The following is a 17,976-nucleotide window of genomic DNA, read 5'->3' as shown; positions in this document are numbered from 1 at the left end:
AATCACCCTACAATGGCCTCTAAAGTGCTCAAGTGAAGGGAAGGGTCGCAGGGCTCTCACTTGAAATCAAAAGCCAGAAATGTTTAAGCTTACTGAGGAAATCATGTTGAAAGCCGAGCTAGGCTGAAAGCTAGGCCTCTTATGTCAACCAGCCAAGTTGTAAATGCAAAGGAAAAGTTCATGAAGGAAATTAAAAGTACTACTCCACTGAACACATGAATGATAAGAAAACAACACAACCTCTTTGGCCGGGTGTGATGGCTCACAGGCTGGGCGCAGTGACTCACACCTTTAATCCCAGCATTTTGGGAGGCCAAGGTGGGTGGATCACCTGAGGTCAGGAGTTCTAGATCAGCCTGGCCAACATGGCAAAACTCTGTCTCTACTAAAAATAGAAAAATTAGCTGGGTTTGGTTGTGCAGACCTGTAATCCTAGCTGCTTGGGAGGCTGAGGCAGGAGAATTGCTTGAACCCGGGAGGCAGAGGTTGCAGTGAGCTGAGATTGTGCCACTGCATTCCAGCCTGGGCAATAGAGTGAGACTCCATCTCAAAAAGAAAAACAAGAAAACCCAAAAAAACCACTAACAACAAAACCCAGCCTTTTTGCTGATATGGAGAAAGCTTTAGTGATCTGGAGAGAAGATCAAAGAAGCCGCAGCACTTCCTTAAGCCAAAGCCTAATCCAGAGCAAGGCCCCTCTTCAGTTCTCTGAAGCCCAAGAGAGGTGAGGAAGCTGAAGAAGAAAAGTTTGAAGCTAGCAGAGGTTGACTTACAAGGTTTGAGGAAAGAAGCCATCTCTCTAACATCAAAGTGCAAGGGGAAGCCATAGTGCTGATGTAGAAGCTGTGCAAGTTATCCAGAAGATCTAGCTAAGATCAATGCTGAAGGTGGTTCTACTAAACAACAGATTTGCAGTGTAAATGAACAGTCTTCTGTTGGAAGAAGATGTCATCTGGGACTTTCATAGCTAGAGAAGAGAAATCAGTGCCATTCTTCAAAGCTTCAAAGGACAGGCTGACTCTGTCTCTTGTTTCCTTTTAAAAAAATTAGAGGTGGGGTCTTGCCGTATTGCCCAGGCTGGTCTTGAACACCTGACCTCAAGCAGTTCTCCCACCTAGGCCTCTCAAAGTGCTGGGATCACAGGCGGGAGCTACTGTGCCCAGCCAGACTCTCTTGTTAGGGGCCAAGGCAGCTGGTGACTTTAAGTTGAAGCCAGTGTTGATTTGCCATTCTGAAAATCCTAGGGCCCTTAAGAATGATGCTAAAGAGGATGTTACTTCCTCCACTGAAGTCGTGAGCCCCTCAAAATCATCCATGAATGTTGAAATCAGTATCTTCCAAACTCCTATTAATGTTGACATTTCGACCTCTTCCCATGAATCATTAATGTTCTTAATGGTATCTAGAATGATGAATTCTTTCCGGAATGTTTTCAGTTTACTCTGCCCAGATCCATCACAAAAGTCACTATCTACGACAGCTATAGCTTTATGAAATATATTTCTTAAATAATAAGAATTGATCTTATATAAACTAAAAATTAAAATAATAGGGCTTGAAAGTTGAAATTACTCCTTGATCCATGGGCTGCAAAATGGATATTGTGTTAGCAGGCATAAAAACGACACTAATAATCTCCTTGTACATCTCTTTCAGAGCTCTGGGATGACCAGGTGCGTTGTCAATGAGCAGTCATATTTAGAAAGGAATCTTTTTTCCTAAGCAGTAGGTCTCAACAGTGAGCTTAAAATATTCAGTGGTGGCTCATCCCTGTAATCCCAACACTTTGGGAGGTTGAGGCAGGAGAATCACTTGAGCCTACAAGTTGGACACCAGCCCAGGCAGCATAACAACTTTATAGTTTTTATTTTTTATTTTTATTTTTATTTTTTTTCGAGACTGAGTCTTGCTCTGTCACCCAGGCTGGAGTGCGGTGGTGCGATCTCAGCTCACTGCAACCTCTGCCTCCCAGGTTCAAGCAGTTCTCCTGCCTTGCCTCCCAAGTAGCTGGGACTACAGGCATGCACCACCATGCCTGGCTAATTTTTGTATTCTTAGCAGAGACTTAGTAGAGATGTTGGCCAGGCTGGTCTCGAACTCTTGACTTCATGATCCACCCATCTTGGCCTCCTAAAGTGCTGGGATTACAGGCGTGAGCCACTGTGCCCGGCCCTATAATTTTTAAATAAAAAAATTAGCTGGGCATGGTGGCACATGCCTGTAGTCGTAGTTACTTGGGACGCTGGAACAGGAGGATCGCTTGGCCTAGCAGTTCAAGGTTGGGGTGAGCTACAGTTTCATTGCACTCTAGCGAGGGTGATAGAGTGAAACCCTATCTCGATATATTTAAAAAATATAAATATAATGAAATTAAGGTATGTACATTGCTTTCACTTAATAGACTGCAGTATAGAGTAAATATAACTTTTATTTGCACTGGGAAACCAAAAAATTTGTGTCACTCACTTTATTGCAATATTCTCTTCATTGTGGTGATCTGGAACCAAACCTGTGATATCTCTGAGGTATGCCTATATTGTGTCAAAGGTACTTAGCACAGTGCCTGGCATGGAGTAGGTAGCCCACATCTGAAACCTTTTTTTGGAGGTTTTTTGTTTCAGTGAAAAGTCTTTCTTTTGGCCCCGACTTTCATCTTTTTTCCTCTGGATTGTCTTCTTATTGAGTTGTAAAAGTTCTTTACATATCCTTTATTTTTTTGACCACTGCAAAGGAGCCTTTCTTGCAATGGAGGAGAGAGACTGGAATGTGTTCTCTTTATGTTTTCTTTTCTTTTCTTTTTCTTTTTTTTTTTTTTTTGAGATGGAGTCTCGCTCTGTCACCCAGGCTAGAGCGCAGTGGTGTGATCTGGCCTCACTGCAACCTCTGCCTCCCGGGTTCAAGTGATTCTCCTGCCTCAACCTCCTGAGTAGCTGGGATTACAGGTGCACACCACCATGTCCAGCTAATTTTTGTATTTTTAGTAGAGACGGGGTTTTACCATGTTGGCCAAGCTGGTCTCGAACTGCTGACCTCAAATGATTTGCCCACCTCAGCCTCCCAAAGTGCTGGGATTACAAGCATGAGCCACTGCGCCCAGCCTCTTTATGTATTCTTGGTTCAAATCCTTTGTCAATATGTTTTCAAATATTTTCCCCTAGTATCAGTTTTTTGATGGTATCTTTTTTTTTCTTTTTTCTTCTTTTAAAAATTAAAAAAAATAGACCCAAGGTCTCACTATGTTGTCCAGGCTGGTCTTGAAGTCTTGGCCTCAAGCAATCCTCCTGCCTTGGCCTCCCAAAGTGCTGGGATTACAGAGGTGAGCCATGACACCTGACCTGATGGTATCTTTAAAAATGACTAGTTTGGGCTGGGCGTGGTGGCTCACGCCTGTAATCCCAGCACTTTGGGAGGCTGAGGCAGGCGGATCACTTGAGGTCAGTATTTCTAGTCCAGCCTGGGCAACATCATCTCTACTAAAAATACAAAAGTTAGCCAGGTGTGGTGGTTTGTGCCTGTAATCCCTGCTACTGGGGAGGCTGAGGCAGGAGAATCGCTTGAACCCAGGAGACAGAGGTTGCAGTGAGTGGAGATGGCACCACTGTACTCCAGCCTGGGCAATGGAGTGATACTCTGTCTCAAAAAAAAAAAAAATAGAAAGTGACTGCTTTGTAAGCTAGCTGAAAGAAGTGCCATTTTTTTCCTGCTTTGCCTGCTGACCCTAGTGTCAGCACTACCTGTATTCAGCTCCCATGGCTTTAATCTGACCTCTGCTTACTTTCTTCTCTCTACTCTTTGAAAGCAGAGATGCCATCAGGTGAAGTGTCTGAGACAAATAGAATGGGGCTTGAACAAAAGTTAGGGAATAGGTGATTTTGTGTGTCTGGTTTAATTAGCCTCTTAATTATGTGAAAATTGACCTTGGAGGATACATAGTAAGAGCGGTATTGCTTTCTGTAAGGTTCTTTGGTGAGATTGTGATTACCTATAATGTGTTCTGTTTCATCAGGTTCTGCAGCTGATTCATGAGAGAGATAACATCTGTAAACAGATCCACCTGCCAGCCCAGAGTGGAAGCAGCCGTGTGTTGGAGGCCATGCGGAGGGGGTCAGGCTTGCTTGGAGAGGGGGCATCCCTCACTTTTCCATGTTTCCTTAATGACCAAACAGTGTCCTTGTTGCCAAGAACCTAGCATAGTGTGTGGCACAAAGTAGCTGCTCAGTAAATATTTATTGTATGACTAAGCCACTGGGCACTGGAGTTTGCTTCTGCTCACTTCATAAGCAAAGGCTAAGGACTGGTCACCCATTTTCACTGTTTAGTTTAAAAAGCATAAATATTTACTGAGCAGCCACTGTGTGACAGTAAGTATTTATTGTATGACTAAGCCACAGGGCACTGGAGCTTGCTTCGCTAACTCCATAACATAGGCTAAGGACTGGGTCATCCATTTTCACTGTTTAGTATGTTTTTTTTTAATTAAGCACCTATGGTGTGGCACACTCTGAGATTTTAATTTTTTAATGTTAACATTAAGGTTTTGTTACATCTTGGAATTTAAATGTCGCTCTATGTGTTCACTTTCTTTGAGAATAATAAGTATTACACAGATGAGACTGAAGGGAGAATCTGTCCCAAGGCAAGCTGTATGGAATTAGTGCTTTGTCTTGTTTTCCACAGGGCATAGTATTTTAGAGGTCCTCTAAAATGTTTAATCTGTCTAGATTTATTAGTTAAATAAAAAAAGCTATTTAGAATAGTTTATGCTGGCCAGGCACTGTGGCTTCTGCCTGTAATCCAAGCACTTTGGGAGACTGTGGTGGGCAGATTGCCTGAGCTCAGTAGTTTGAGAATAGACCAGCTTGTGCAACATGGGGAAACCCAGTCTTTACACACACACACACCTGGGCAACATGGCGAAACCCAGTCTCTACACACACAAACACACACCTGGGCAACATGGTGAAACCCAGTCCCTACACACACACACACACACACATGCACACACCTGGGCAACATGGTGAAACCCAGTCCCTACACACACAGACACACACACACACACACACACACACGGGCAACATGGCGAAACCCAGTCTCTACACACATACACACACACATACAGACACACAGACACACACACACACTAGCTGGGTGTGGTGGCGCACATCTGTGGTCCCAGCTACTCAAGAGGCTGAGGTGGAAGGATCACTTGAGCCCAGGAATTTGAGTTGCAGTGAACCGAGATTGTGCCATTGCACTCCAGCCTGAGAGACAGAGCGAGACTCTGTCTCAAAAAAAAAAAAAAAAAGTTTATGTCCTTAAATAAAAATTCATAGGCTCTAGATTAGATTAGAAGATACAGCTTAGATCAAAAGGGCTCTTTTGGATACTTTAATTTACTCGTGTGCCCTGCCATGTGGATGAGAAGTGATTACATGTGGAAATTCATAGTGTTATCTTTTTATAGCATTCATTTAAAAAGGTTGGATTTATGTAGGCCTTTTCCTTTTGTTCTTTATTGCAGATATTCAAGAGAAGCTTATGTGGAGTTAGTTCACCATATTAGAGAATCTATTCCAGGTACATTTAAGAAACTCATTCTGCTGAGCATGTTACTCTACCAGTGACCAGCCTTGTGGTTAGATACAGTCAACACCTTTGGCATTTCCTTGTGACACAGTTTCATAACTTTTGTGCTCTTCTTCTTTCTCTTTCTCTCTCCTCGTATTCTTTCTTTTATGTCTTTCTGATTTTTTGTTGTCTTAGTCCTGCTGGAAGTACTTAGGTGTGGATCACCTTGTGGCCTCAAGGCTATAGAGATTCCTTTTCTATGGTCTTTGTATCTGGACATAGAGGAAAGACCTTATCTTATCTTGTAAGGTGACAAAGTTATGTCTAAATTAGTTCTGATTTGAGAACAATTGATATCTTTTTTTTTTTTTTTTAGAAATAAGAACTTACTATTCTTATTTATTCATCTTCATTTTCTATATTTTATACCACATTTGACTTTCTTTTTGAGGCCGATTTTACAGATACATTTTAAAATCACTTTTGAGTTAGAATACTTTAAGCATAATATGGAGAGAATAACACTTAGATTATGCCTTTGGGGAACTTCCAGGTTAGGTGGGAAAAGAAAGCAGTTACAGTGTTGTTTATTTTCAGATATGCTTCAGAGAAGTCTTGATGAAATGAGGAAATGTAGGTATAAAGATGATTGTACAGATCAGCAGTAAAATGTGTACTTTTTCTAACTAGCTTTATGGCAACTTATTACTGTAAATTTTAGAGATAATTCCTTTCGTATTATCTTATTCCATATTCCCCTTCACTGTCCCCTTCCTCCTAATAAAATACTCTGTAGTCATTTAGTTTAGATTTGGTTGAGGGTGTATACATTTTTCCTCAAATTTCTAATTATTACAACTTTTTTTTTGAGACAGAATCTTGCTCTATTGCCCAGGATAGAGTGCAGTGGCGCAATCTCGGCTCACTGCAGCTTCTGCCTGCCAGGTTCAAGCGATTCTTGTGCCTCAGCCTCCCAAGTAGCCAGGACTACAGGCCACCATGCCCAGCTAATTTTTGTATTTTTTGGTAGAGATAGGGTTTCACCATGTTGTCCAGGCTGGTCCCGAACTCCTGACCTCAAGTGATCTGCCCGCCTCAGCCTGCCAAAGTGGTGGGATTACAGGCATGAGCCACTGCACCTGGCCTAATTATTTTAACTTTTATGGACAAATACTTTCGTTTTGATAGGGCAGGGTAATGCAGAGGCTAGGTATGTGGCTATGGGTCAAGCTCCACTGTTACAGGCTGTGTGATAGCAGATAAGAGACTTCATTTCTGTGGGATGCAGCTTTCTCATCTGTAAAATGGAGTTAATAGTACTCACCTCACTGGGTCACTGGAATAATTTTTTTGGTGGGGGATAGGTTATCATTCTGTCGCCCAGGCTGGAATGCAGTGGCATGAACACAGTTCACTGCAGCCTTGACCTCCCTGGGCTCAGGTGATCCTCCCACCTCAGCCTCCTGAGTAGCTGGGACTACACTTGAATACCACCCTGCCTGGTCAATTTTTGTATTTTTTGTAGAGATGGGATTTTGCCTATTGGCCAGGCTGGTCTCGAACTCCTGACCTCAAGTGATCCGCCCACCTTGGCCTCTCAAAGTGCTGGGATTACAGGGGTGAGCTACCGCATGCAACGGCTGCTACTGTCTTAGATGACCATTGTATCAAACCAAATTCAGAAATATATTTTTGTATGAAGCACCACAAGGTTTTCACTGGTAAGAGGACTGATATGAAAATGTGGACTCCCTACTGTGTCCCTAAATGCAGCATTGGAAGTGGAAATACCTTTTCTAGTGCTTAGGGGAAATGTAGGCCAAGAAGCTGATCTCTGTCATGGAATGCTGTGGGTGAACAGGCCTATCCCGCCTTACTCTGTACTATTTTGTTTTACTTATGAATAGTCCTAGGGAGGACCTTACAGTTGCTATCCCTCCCTTGTAATCCACATATGCTGAAGGCCTCCCTTGAAGGTAAACAGCAGGCAGTCACCTGTCATCCTTTGCTGTGTATCACAGGTGTGAGCCTCAGCAGCGATTTCATTGCTGGCTTTTGTGGTGAGACGGAGGAAGATCACGTCCAGACAGTCTCTTTGCTCCGGGAAGTTCAGTACAACATGGGCTTCCTCTTTGCCTACAGCATGAGACAGGTGAGCCCTGGGGTTGGGGAGGACTGACATCATTCCTGACCAGTTTGGGGGTGGTGACTGTAGAGAACAGGGCAGAAAAGAGAGTGGCGGCAAGGCAGTCCTTGAGAAACCACAGGCTCTTACGATTCACTTCCGTTCATTTTTCTAGTACACTCTGTCTACTCTGAAACGGTTCAGCAATTTGATGATACATGATTACTGTGCCAGTATTCCTCATTAAAATATTTTAAAATTATGTTTAGATTGTTTGCAATTTGAATATGGAAGGAGAAAACCTTTTCTTTACGAGAAACCTAAAATTGTTTCTTAACATGCAGAACTCCTTTTTGGTCTGCAGATGTGATTTATTTTACCGGGGCCCCTGGTCATCTTCCCAGCCATCCTCAGTGATTCCTAACTTCTGTTTTCCTAGGCAAGTGAACTCACTTGGAGGCTTCCCAGGAAACAAAGCAGATTCCCAGGCAAAGCAGAAGGAGATTAGGAAAGAAGGAGAGATTAGTGCACTTTTCCTGAAGAGAAGGATAGTCCTGGTTGGCTGTCATTTTCTTGATTGTAGGCATGGATTTGCACGGTTCACTCCTCATTCCCTCAGTCACCTTTGTGGCAATGTGCTTGTGTTTGGGCAGGAGGTTGAAGGCCCCCTGTGGCCAGGGGGCTCAGAAAAGCTGGCTGACAAACGACTGAACCCATGACTTTATTGTCATTGTTACTGAGCTGCCATCAACCAAACTAATTTTTTTGTTTTTTTAAGAGGCAGTATCTTTCTATGCTGTCCAGGTTGGTCTCAAACTCCTGGCTCAGGCAGTCCTTTCACCACGCTCTCTCAAAGTGCTGAGATGACAGGCGTGAGTCATGACACCTCAACTAATTCATTTTAAAGCCACTGCGTAGTGTTCTGTGGGCAGCGTAACTGTGCCAATGTATGTATCATATTCATGTATCTTTTAGTGTTTTGGAGAGATGAAGCTTCAGAGGAGCTGTTAGTTTCTGTTTTGCTTCTTTTTTTTTTTGAGGCGGAGTCTCAGTCTCGCTCTGTTGCCCAGGCTGGAGTGCAGTTGCGCAATCTCGACTCACTGCAAGCTCTGCCTCCCGGGTTCATGCCATTCTCCTGCCTCAGCCTCCCGAGTAGCTGGGACTACAGGCACCCGCCACCATGCCCGGCTAATTTTTTGTATTTTTAGTAGAGACGGGGTTTCACCGCATTAGCCAGGATGGTCTCAATCTCCTGACCTCGTGATCTGCCCGCCTCGGCCTCCCAAAGTGCTGGGATTACAGGTGTGAGCCACTGTGCCTGGCCCCTTCTATTTTGCTTCTTTTCCATGGACATCACAAATATGCCAGAGAAATTCTTTTTTTTTTTGAGACAGAGTCTCGCTCTGTCACCAGGCTGGAGGGCAGTGGCATGATCTTGGCTCACAGCAACCTCCACCTTCCAGGTTCAAGCAATCCTCCTGCCTCAGCCTCCCGAGTAGCTGGGATTACTGGTGCGTGCCACCACACCTGGCTAATTTTTGTATTTTTTAGTAGAGACAGGGTTTTACCATGTTGGCCAGGATGGTCTTGATCTCTCGACCTTGTGATCCACCCACCTCAGCCTCCCAAGAGAAATTCTTTTTTTTTATTTTTTGAGACGGAGTCTCGCTCTTGTTGCCCAGGCTGAAGTGCAATGGCACGATCTCAGCTCACCACAACCTCCACCTTCCGGGTTCAAGTTTTTCTCCTGCCTCAGCCTCCCGAGTAGCTGGGATTATAGGCATGTGCCACCACGCCTGGCTAATTTTGTATTTTTAGTAGAGATGGGGTTTCTCCATGTTGGTCAGGTGGGTCTCAAACTCCTGACCTCAGGTGATCCACCACCTTGGCCTCCCAAAGTGCTGGGATTACAGGCATGAGCCACTGTGCCCGGCCTGAGAAATTCTTTTTAATACTAGGATTGGTAGAGGTGGGAGGACCACTTAAGCCCAGGAGTTTGAGACCAACCTGGGTAACATAGGGAGACCCTTCTCTACCAAAAAAAAAAAAAAAAAAAAAAAAAAAAATTAGCCGAGAGTGGTGGCACATGCCTGTGATCCCAGCTATTTGGGAGGCTGAAGTCGGAGGATCACTTGAGCCTGGGAGGTTGAAACTGTGGTGATCCAAGATTGTGCCACTGCACTCCGGTTTGGCAACAGAATGAGACCCTGTCTCAAAAAAGAAAAAAAAATCCTAGGGATGGGAAATGGGTTTTCAGCTTGTGGCAGAAGCATCTTATGGTCAGTGAATATGAATGTTCACTTTGGGACCTAATTCCTAAGGGTTAAGGTTATAGGAACTTAATCAAGAACCTAGTGGATGAGAGCAAGCACTCAAATTGTGCCTCTGCTGCTTAATAACTACGTGACATTGGGCAAATGTCTTGGTTTCCAACATTGGTACCAACCTCATAGGGTTGTTCTGGGGATTAAGTAAGATAATATGTTTAAAGCAGTTATAATTGTGTTTCATGCATAGTAAATGCACAACAGAGGTAAGTTATTGTTGTTAGTAGTAAGACAGAATGGAGTAAACTCTGCAATATTTTTAGGATTCTCCGTTTTCCTCCGTGGATACTTCTCTTCAAGGTAGATTGGTTTGAATGTCCAAACTTTGGTATATAGATATTCCTTTTATTCCATATTTTTGTCTAGCTCAGTGGTTCTCCAGCTGTACTGAGCATGAGCTCATGTCATAAAGATATAATACACACTGTGGTTTTGGATGATTTAAAGGTGTTTTAAGGATAAATTCCCTTTTTTCTTTTGGACTAGGTAATACATGCTTGAATAAAATTCAAAAGGTTAAGTGCTGTACATGAGTGGTTCTTCCTTCTTCCCAGGTTGCCTAGTTTTTTTAGTTCCTTCCCTGAAGGCAACCACTTAGCAATTTCTTTTGTAACTTTCTGGGCATATTTCGTGTGTTTATAAGCATGCCTGTATGTATTCTGTCTACACTAAAGTTACATGTGTTGATCTGCACTTTGCTTATTTCAAGTAACAGTAGATTTTGGAGAACAATCCACATTAGTACATATAGAACTATCATTCTGTTTAACAGCCGCACAATATTCCATTGTATAGATAAACCATAATTTCTGTGACTACTTGCCTATTGAAATATTTAGGCTGCATTGCATCTTATGTCTTCATAAATAGTACTGCTGAGTAACCTAGTATATGTGAGTCATTTGGTATATGTACAAGTGTAACGTTAGGATAAATATCAAGAGTAATTTTGAGTCTATGATTTTCATGTGCTAAATTTAGAATTTAACCCTTGCAAAAATATGACTCCACTACCTTTTTATCTTGGAATGCTCCCAGAGCCAGAGAAACCTCTTGCCTCTGGCTTGGGTTTCTGTACATGTGTCTGTTACTTGTAGGTAGAATGAACATGGTCGCCCTCTGTGCATTAAGAATAGATTCTACAAGTCCTTGGTGACCTCCATCTTCTCTCTTTTTTTTTTTTTTAATAGAAGACACGGGCATATCATAGGCTGAAGGATGATGTCCCGGAAGAGGTAAAATTAAGGCGTTTGGAGGAACTCATCACTATCTTCCGAGAAGAAGCAACAAAAGCCAATCAGACCTCTGTGGGCTGTACCCAGTTGGTGCTAGTGGAAGGGGTGAGGCCATATGTGTGTGTGTTATGTTGTTTTTTATGTTTCAGAACATTAGATCTTTGATTTTTTTCCTCATTATGTTGCCTAGGCTGGACTCAAACTGCTGGGCTCAAGTGATTCTCCTGCCTCAGCCTCCCAAGTAGGTGGGACTACAGGCTGATGTTTTAAATCAAAGTTTTTGTAGTTTTCAGTATACAGATTTTGTCCATGTTTTGTTAGATTTACACCTAAGTATTTCTTTTCTTTTTTTGAGACGGAGTCTCGCTCTTTTGACCAGGCTGGAGTGCAGTGGCACAGTCTCGGCCCACTGCAACCTCTGCTTCCCAGGTTCAAGCGATTCTCTTGCCTCTGCCTCCCGAGTAGCTGGGATTACAGGTGTGTGTCACCATGCCTGGCTAATTTTTGTATTTTTTTTAGTAGAGACGGGGTTTCATCATGTTGGCCAGGCTGGTCTCAAAGTTATCCACCCACCTCAGCCTCCCAAAGTGCTAGGATTACGGGCATGAGCCACCGTGCCCGGCCTTTTTTTTTTTTTTTTTTTTTGAGATGGAGTCTCACTCTTTCACTTAGGCTGGAGTGCAGTGGCATGATCTTGGCTTACTGCAACCTCTGTCTCCCAGGCTCAAGCAATTCTCCTGCCTCAGCCTCCAGAGTAGCTGGGATTGCAGGCACCCACTACCACACCCAGCTAATTTTTGTATTTTTAGTAGAGACAGGATTTCACCATGTTGTCCAGGCTGGTCTCAAACTCCTGACCTCAGGTGTTCCACCCACCTTGGCCTCCCAAAGAGCTGGGATTACAGGTGTGAGCCACAGCTCTCGACCACAAAGCTCTTTCTTATTCATCCAACATAGCCATTACTTACTTGGGGCTAGAGAATAAATGGGTTTTTCAAGGCTAGCAGTTGGAGTCATTGCTTTCTCTTAGAGGAGACTTTCTTTCCTCCAGACATGGCCAGTTTAAAACACCAAGTTGCTATGTCCAGAGTGGCAGAAAAGATGATAATGGCTCACATCCCTCAGCATTTACCGTCTGCCAGGAACTGCGCACTTTATGGCCATCAGCACAGAGTGCCACCACTGTCCTTGGAGAAAGGTGCTGTTACTAGCTCCCTTTTGTGCATGAGGGTACTGAGCTCAGAGACAGAGCATAACTTCCCTAAGGTTACACAGCTAGTGTGTGGCAGAGTCAGAATTAGATACAGCTCTCTCTCCAGAGTCTGTAATCACCCTGCCCTTTTTTTTTTTTTTTTTTTTTTTTTTTACATTATAGAGAATTTTAAACATAGAGGCTGGGCGCAGTGGCTTGTGCCTGTAATCCCAGCACTTTGGGGGGCCGAGGCGGGTAGATCACTTGAGGTCAGGAGTTCGAGACCAGTCTGGCCAACATGGTGAATCACCGTCTCTACTAAAAATACAAAAATTAGTTGGGTATGGTGGTGCACACCTGTAGTCCCAGCTACTCAGGAGGCTGAGGTGGGAGAATTGCTTGAACCTGGGAGGCGGAGGTTGCAGTGAGCTGAGATCGGGCCATTGCACTCCAGCCTGGGCAACAGAGTGAGACTCTGTTTCAAAAAAACCCAAATAAACAACAACAAAAAACATATAGAGAATAGTATAATGAATGCTGGCATACCTATTAACCAGCCTCAACAAATGTCAATACTGCTGGGCATGGTGGCTCAAGCCTGTGATCCTAGCACTTTGGAAGGCCAAGGCTGGAGGATTGCGTGAGCCCAGGAGTTCAAAACCAGCTTAGGCAACATGGTGAAACCTAATCTCTACAAATTAAATAAAAAATAAAAATTAGTCAGGTGTGGTGGTGCACACCTGTAGTCACAGCTACTTGGGAAGCTGATGTGAGAAGATTGCTTGAATCCAGGAGGTCGAGGGTGCAGTAAGATGAGATTGTGCCACCTTACTCCAGCCTGGAGTCTGTATCAAAAAAAATACACAGCTAGAGTCTGTATCAAAAAAAAAAAAAAAGAGGCTGGTCACGGTGGCTCATGCCTGGAATCCCACCACTTTGGAAGGCCGAGGCGGGTGGATCACCTGAGGTCGGGAGTTGGAGACCAGCCTGACCAACATGGAGAAACCCCGTCTCTACTAAAAATACAAAATTAGCTGGGCTTGGTGGCACATGCCTGTAATCCCAGTTACTCGGGAGGCTGAGGCAAGAGAATGGCTTGAACCTGGGAGGCGGAGGTTATGGTGAGCCGAGATCGCGCCATTGTACTCTAGCCTGGGCAACAAAAGTGAAACTCCGTCTCAAACAAAAAAAAAGCCAAAAAATAGTTGTCAATACTTGACTAATCTTGTTTCATTTCCACTGCTCCTGGTGGGTGATTTTAAAGCAAGTATAAGATACTTCTTCGGGCCAGGCGCGGTGGCTCACGTCTGTAATCCCATCACTTTGGGAGGCTGAGGCAGGTGGATCATGAGGTCAGGAGTTCAGGACCAGCCTGGCCAAGATGGTGAAACCCCGTCTCTACTAAAAATACAAAAATTAGCCAAGTGTGGTGGCAGGCACCTGTAATCCCAGTGACTTTGGGAGGCTGAGGCAGAGAATTGCTTGAACCTGGGAGGCAGAGGTTGCAGTGAGCCAAGATTGCGCCACTGCACTCCAGCCTGGGTCACACAGCGAGACTCCATCTCAAAAAAAAAAAAAAAAAAGCTATTTCTTCAGTAAATATTTCAGTATATATGTCTAGAAGATAAGGACTTTAAAAAAATTATAAACAAAATGCTATTATCATACCTGACAATAATTGACAAAAATGTCTTAATATTCTTTTTAGATTTCCAAAGCACTTCTAATTTTCTTAATATTACCAAATATTTGCTCAGTGTTCTAATTTCCCTGTTTGTCTCATGAATGTTCTTTTACACTTGGTTTTTTTCAAATCATGGAACCTGAAATCTCAATTTAATTGATTTTATTATTTATTTTTTATATTTTTTGAGACAAAGTCTCTCGTTCTGTCTCCCTGGCTGGAGTGTGGTGGTGTAATGATAGCTCACTGTAACCTTGAACTCCTTGGGCTCACGCGACCCTCCTGCTTCAGCCTCCGGAGTAGCTGGTACTATAATGTGTACAACCACGCCTGGCTAATGTTTCAAATTTTTTGTAGAGATGGGGTTTTGCTCTGTTGCCCAGGTTGGTCTCAGACTCCTTGCCTCATGCAATCCTCCTACCTCAGCCTCCCAAAGTTCTGGGATTACAGGCATGAGCCACTGCAGTGGCCTGAACTCTCTTTTTTTAAAAAAAAAATTACTGTAAAACAACTGCAAACCCATAGAGAAGTTCCAAGTGTATTATAAAGAACTTTTTTTCCCCTTGAATCATTTCAGAGTAAGTTGCTGCCCTGATGTCCCCAAACCCCCAAATACTGTAATGTGTATCTTGTACAAACAGGGACATTCTCCTAGATAACTGTAGTACAACTATGAAAATCAGGAAATTAACCTTGTTAGATTACTACCATCTAATCCTGAGACCCCATGTAAGTTTCCTCCAGTTGTCTTCGAACTGTCCTTTATAGGAAAAGGATTTGGTTTAGTATCATATGTTGCATTTAACTGTCATGTCTCTCTAGTCTCCTTTAGTCTAGGATGGTTCGTCATTATTTCTTTGACTTCCATGACCTTGACACTTAAAGATTACAGGCCAGTTATTTTGTAGAATGTCCATAATTTGATGTATTTTCATGATAAGATTCAGGTTATGCATTCTTTGGCAGGAATACCAGAGAGATGATGTTGTATTCTAATCATATCCTGTGAGGTGGCATACAATTTTGATTTGTCTCATTACTGATGATGCTAACTTTGAAAACATGGAAGATACTGTCTGCCAGCCTTCTTGACTGTAAAGTTACTCTTTTTCCTTTTGTAACTAGTAAGTATTTTGTAGGGAATAGTAGAGCCTCTAAATCTCAGCTGAAGGTTGTTTCCCTAAAGTGGTATTCATTTAAAGACTGAACTCCTTTCTGTGTCTTTGATTACTTAAGAATATAGCATGTTGTCAGAGCTTGATTTTCTAATGGCAGATTATGTGCCCTTTGGATTCTCTTTGGCCCATTATTTTAACCCCAAACTGGGTACCACTCACTCAGTGTATATAATGTAAGATTCTTGTAATGATATACTTCTGTCCCTTCCTCCTCCTTTTGTACTATTTTTACAGAGTTTTACTTTTGTATCCCTAAATCATTGTTATTTTTGCTTTAAACAATTATCTTTTAAAGGAACTTTAAAAAATGAGAGAAAGTCTGTATTTACCCACTGATTTACTATTTCTGGCATTCTTCATCCCTTGTGTACGTTCACGTTTCCACTGGGCATCGTTTTGTTTGTGCTTGAAAGGCTTCCTTTAACATTGCTTGTAATGCAGGTCTTTTGGCAGTGATGCTGCTCAGCTTCTGTTTGTCTGAAAAGATCTTTATTTCACCTTCCTTTTAAAAATATATTTTCACCGAGTGTTGACTTTTAGGTTGACATTTTGGAGATATCATTCTGTTGACTTCTGACATACGTGATTCTGACAGGTTTGTGGTCATTCTTCTTTACTCTATGCCATTTTCTTTGGCTGCTTTTAAGATTTTGCTTTATCACTGTTTTTAGGAATTTGATGTGGCTGGGGGTGGTTTTCTTTGTGTTTACCCCTTTGTGTTTTCTTTGGGATTTTTTTGAGGCTTTTTAGTTTCTGGGGTTATAGTTTTCATCAAATCTGGAAAAATTTCACCTGTTACTCTTCAGATTTTTTTGCTCCGCTTCCTCTTCCACCCACCTCCACCACTTCCGTACTTGAATTACACATATGTCCCACCACTTGATATTGTCCCAGAGGTCACAGAGATTGTTCCCTCCCTCTCTCCCTTCCTTCCTTTTTTTTTTTTTTTTTTTTGAGACTGAGGCTCACTCTGTTGCCCACACTGGAGTGCAGTGGCGTGATCTCGGCTCACTGCAACCTCTGCCTCCCAGGTTTAAGCGATTCTCCTGCCTCAGTCTCCCGAGTCACTGGGACTACAGATGTGCGCCACCACACCCGGCTAATTTTTGTGTTTTCAGTAGAGACGGGGTTTCGCCATGTTGTCCAGGTTGGTCTCAAACTCCTGACCTCAGGTAATTCACTCGCCTCAGCCTCCCAAAGTGCTGGAATTAACAGGCGTGAGCCACTGCGCCTGGCCAGAAAAACTTTTTTATTCTCTGGATAGTTTAGTTTCACTACTAAGATGTGGCCTTCTGTCAGGAATTGCTAGTGAATATATCCCAAGGAACCGATGAGCACAATTTCCACCCTCCAAGAACTTATGACTGTGACAAATCCATAAACTCTTCTATTTGGTAGTGGATTCCAGGCCACATGTGAGTTCTGGGAACTGTTCAGTGGACAGTTCCCAGGTTACTCTCTTTGCCTGACTTCATGGAGTTTTATGCTACACATGCAAGTGTTAGTGTTCAGTGAAGACTCATAAGGACCCCCTGCATATTTCTGAAATTCTTTTTCCGCTTTGCTCCCTTCTCTCTAGAATTTGCTTCACAGTTTCTAACTATTTCAGTCTCCCTGAACATTGATCCCTCTCTCTTCAGTGCAGGGGAGGACCACTGTGCTGTGCTTGAGCTCTCCCCTCCTGCTTCACAGGCTCCCGTCTGGCATGTACCTTCTGGCAGAAAGCAGGGGTGATTGGGGGGCTCACTTTGTTTTCCTTCTCTCACAGCTCACAGTCTTGTATGATCTCTTGTCCAGTATCCGAAAACAGTTGTTTCATATATTTTACCCAATTTGCTGGTTATTATTTATAAGGCTGAAGGGTAAACTTGTTTCTGTCTCTTTACCATGGCTGGAAGAGAAGGGTTTCCGTAGACTCTAGAAGTTAATCCCATCATAGTGATGTTAGTATCTTCCTGGCTCTGTCTTCTGTGTGTTGTGTTGGAGATTCTGCCTTTCAGTCTGTCTATTCAGTGAGGGCAAGTAATGCAGGCCAAACAATCCCAGAACATTCATTCATAAGTGACTAGTATGAGACTGGGTGAAGTGAAAGTTGGTTTTCCAAATGCATCGCTCATAAGTCTCTGGCTTTAGGCCTGTTGGAGGTCCATTCCTGCAGAAGGCAGTTCTGCACAGACTTATTGATTAATTGATTCATTATAATATAGTTAGCAAAACTTTACAGTGTTTCTGTTGTGGGCCATACACTGCCCTTGCTGGTGAAGCAGCAGCAAACACTGAGTCTTCAGTGATTCCTTGGTTAAGGAATGCTCTGTGGGTCAGACTCTTGGGGATCCGAGACAGAGAAGGCACAGTTTCTACCCTCCAAGAACTTACAACTGTGACAAATCCACGAACTCTTCTCTCTTCTTTCTGCAGCTCAGTAAACGCTCTGCCACTGACCTGTGTGGCAGGAATGATGGAAACCTTAAGGTGATCTTCCCTGATGCAGAGATGGAGGATGTCAATAACCCTGGGCTCAGGGTCAGAGCCCAGCCTGGGGACTATGTGCTGGTGAAGGTGAGGAGTCCTTTTGGGCTTTTGGCTTGCACTGTGAAATGAGTGTTGGTTTGGATATTTGTGGTAATAAAGTTTTTTCCTAGAGACACATTTTAGTAAAATAAAAAT

General features: G+C 43.1%; 1 protein-coding gene across 14 annotated transcripts in view; it reads left to right on the top strand.

The window, feature by feature from the left end:
• Positions 1-17,976, top strand: part of CDK5RAP1 (CDK5RAP1 mitochondrial tRNA methylthiotransferase) — a 42,731-nt gene that overhangs the window by 23,351 nt on the left and 1,404 nt on the right. For 12 of the 14 annotated variants that reach the window (XM_011528856.4, XM_024451893.2, XM_011528857.3 and 9 more), the window contains 5 exons: positions 4,007-4,104; positions 5,522-5,577; positions 7,590-7,720; positions 11,211-11,360; positions 17,728-17,868. In XM_011528856.4, the coding sequence (XP_011527158.1) occupies positions 4,007-4,104; positions 5,522-5,577; positions 7,590-7,720; positions 11,211-11,360; positions 17,728-17,868 (576 nt within the window). Of the gene's footprint in view, positions 1-4,006; positions 4,105-5,521; positions 5,578-7,589; positions 7,721-11,210; positions 11,361-17,727; positions 17,869-17,976 lie in introns of those variants that run through there. The other 2 variants (NM_001278167.2, XM_047440195.1) reach the window with 2 other exon arrangements.

The sequence above is a fragment of the Homo sapiens genome, chromosome 20 (assembly GCF_000001405.40).
Source record: "Homo sapiens chromosome 20, GRCh38.p14 Primary Assembly".
Classification (NCBI taxonomy): Eukaryota; Metazoa; Chordata; class Mammalia; order Primates; family Hominidae; genus Homo; species Homo sapiens.
Note: the sequence above shows the minus strand (reverse complement) of the source record. Positions and strands in the feature narration are given on the sequence as shown.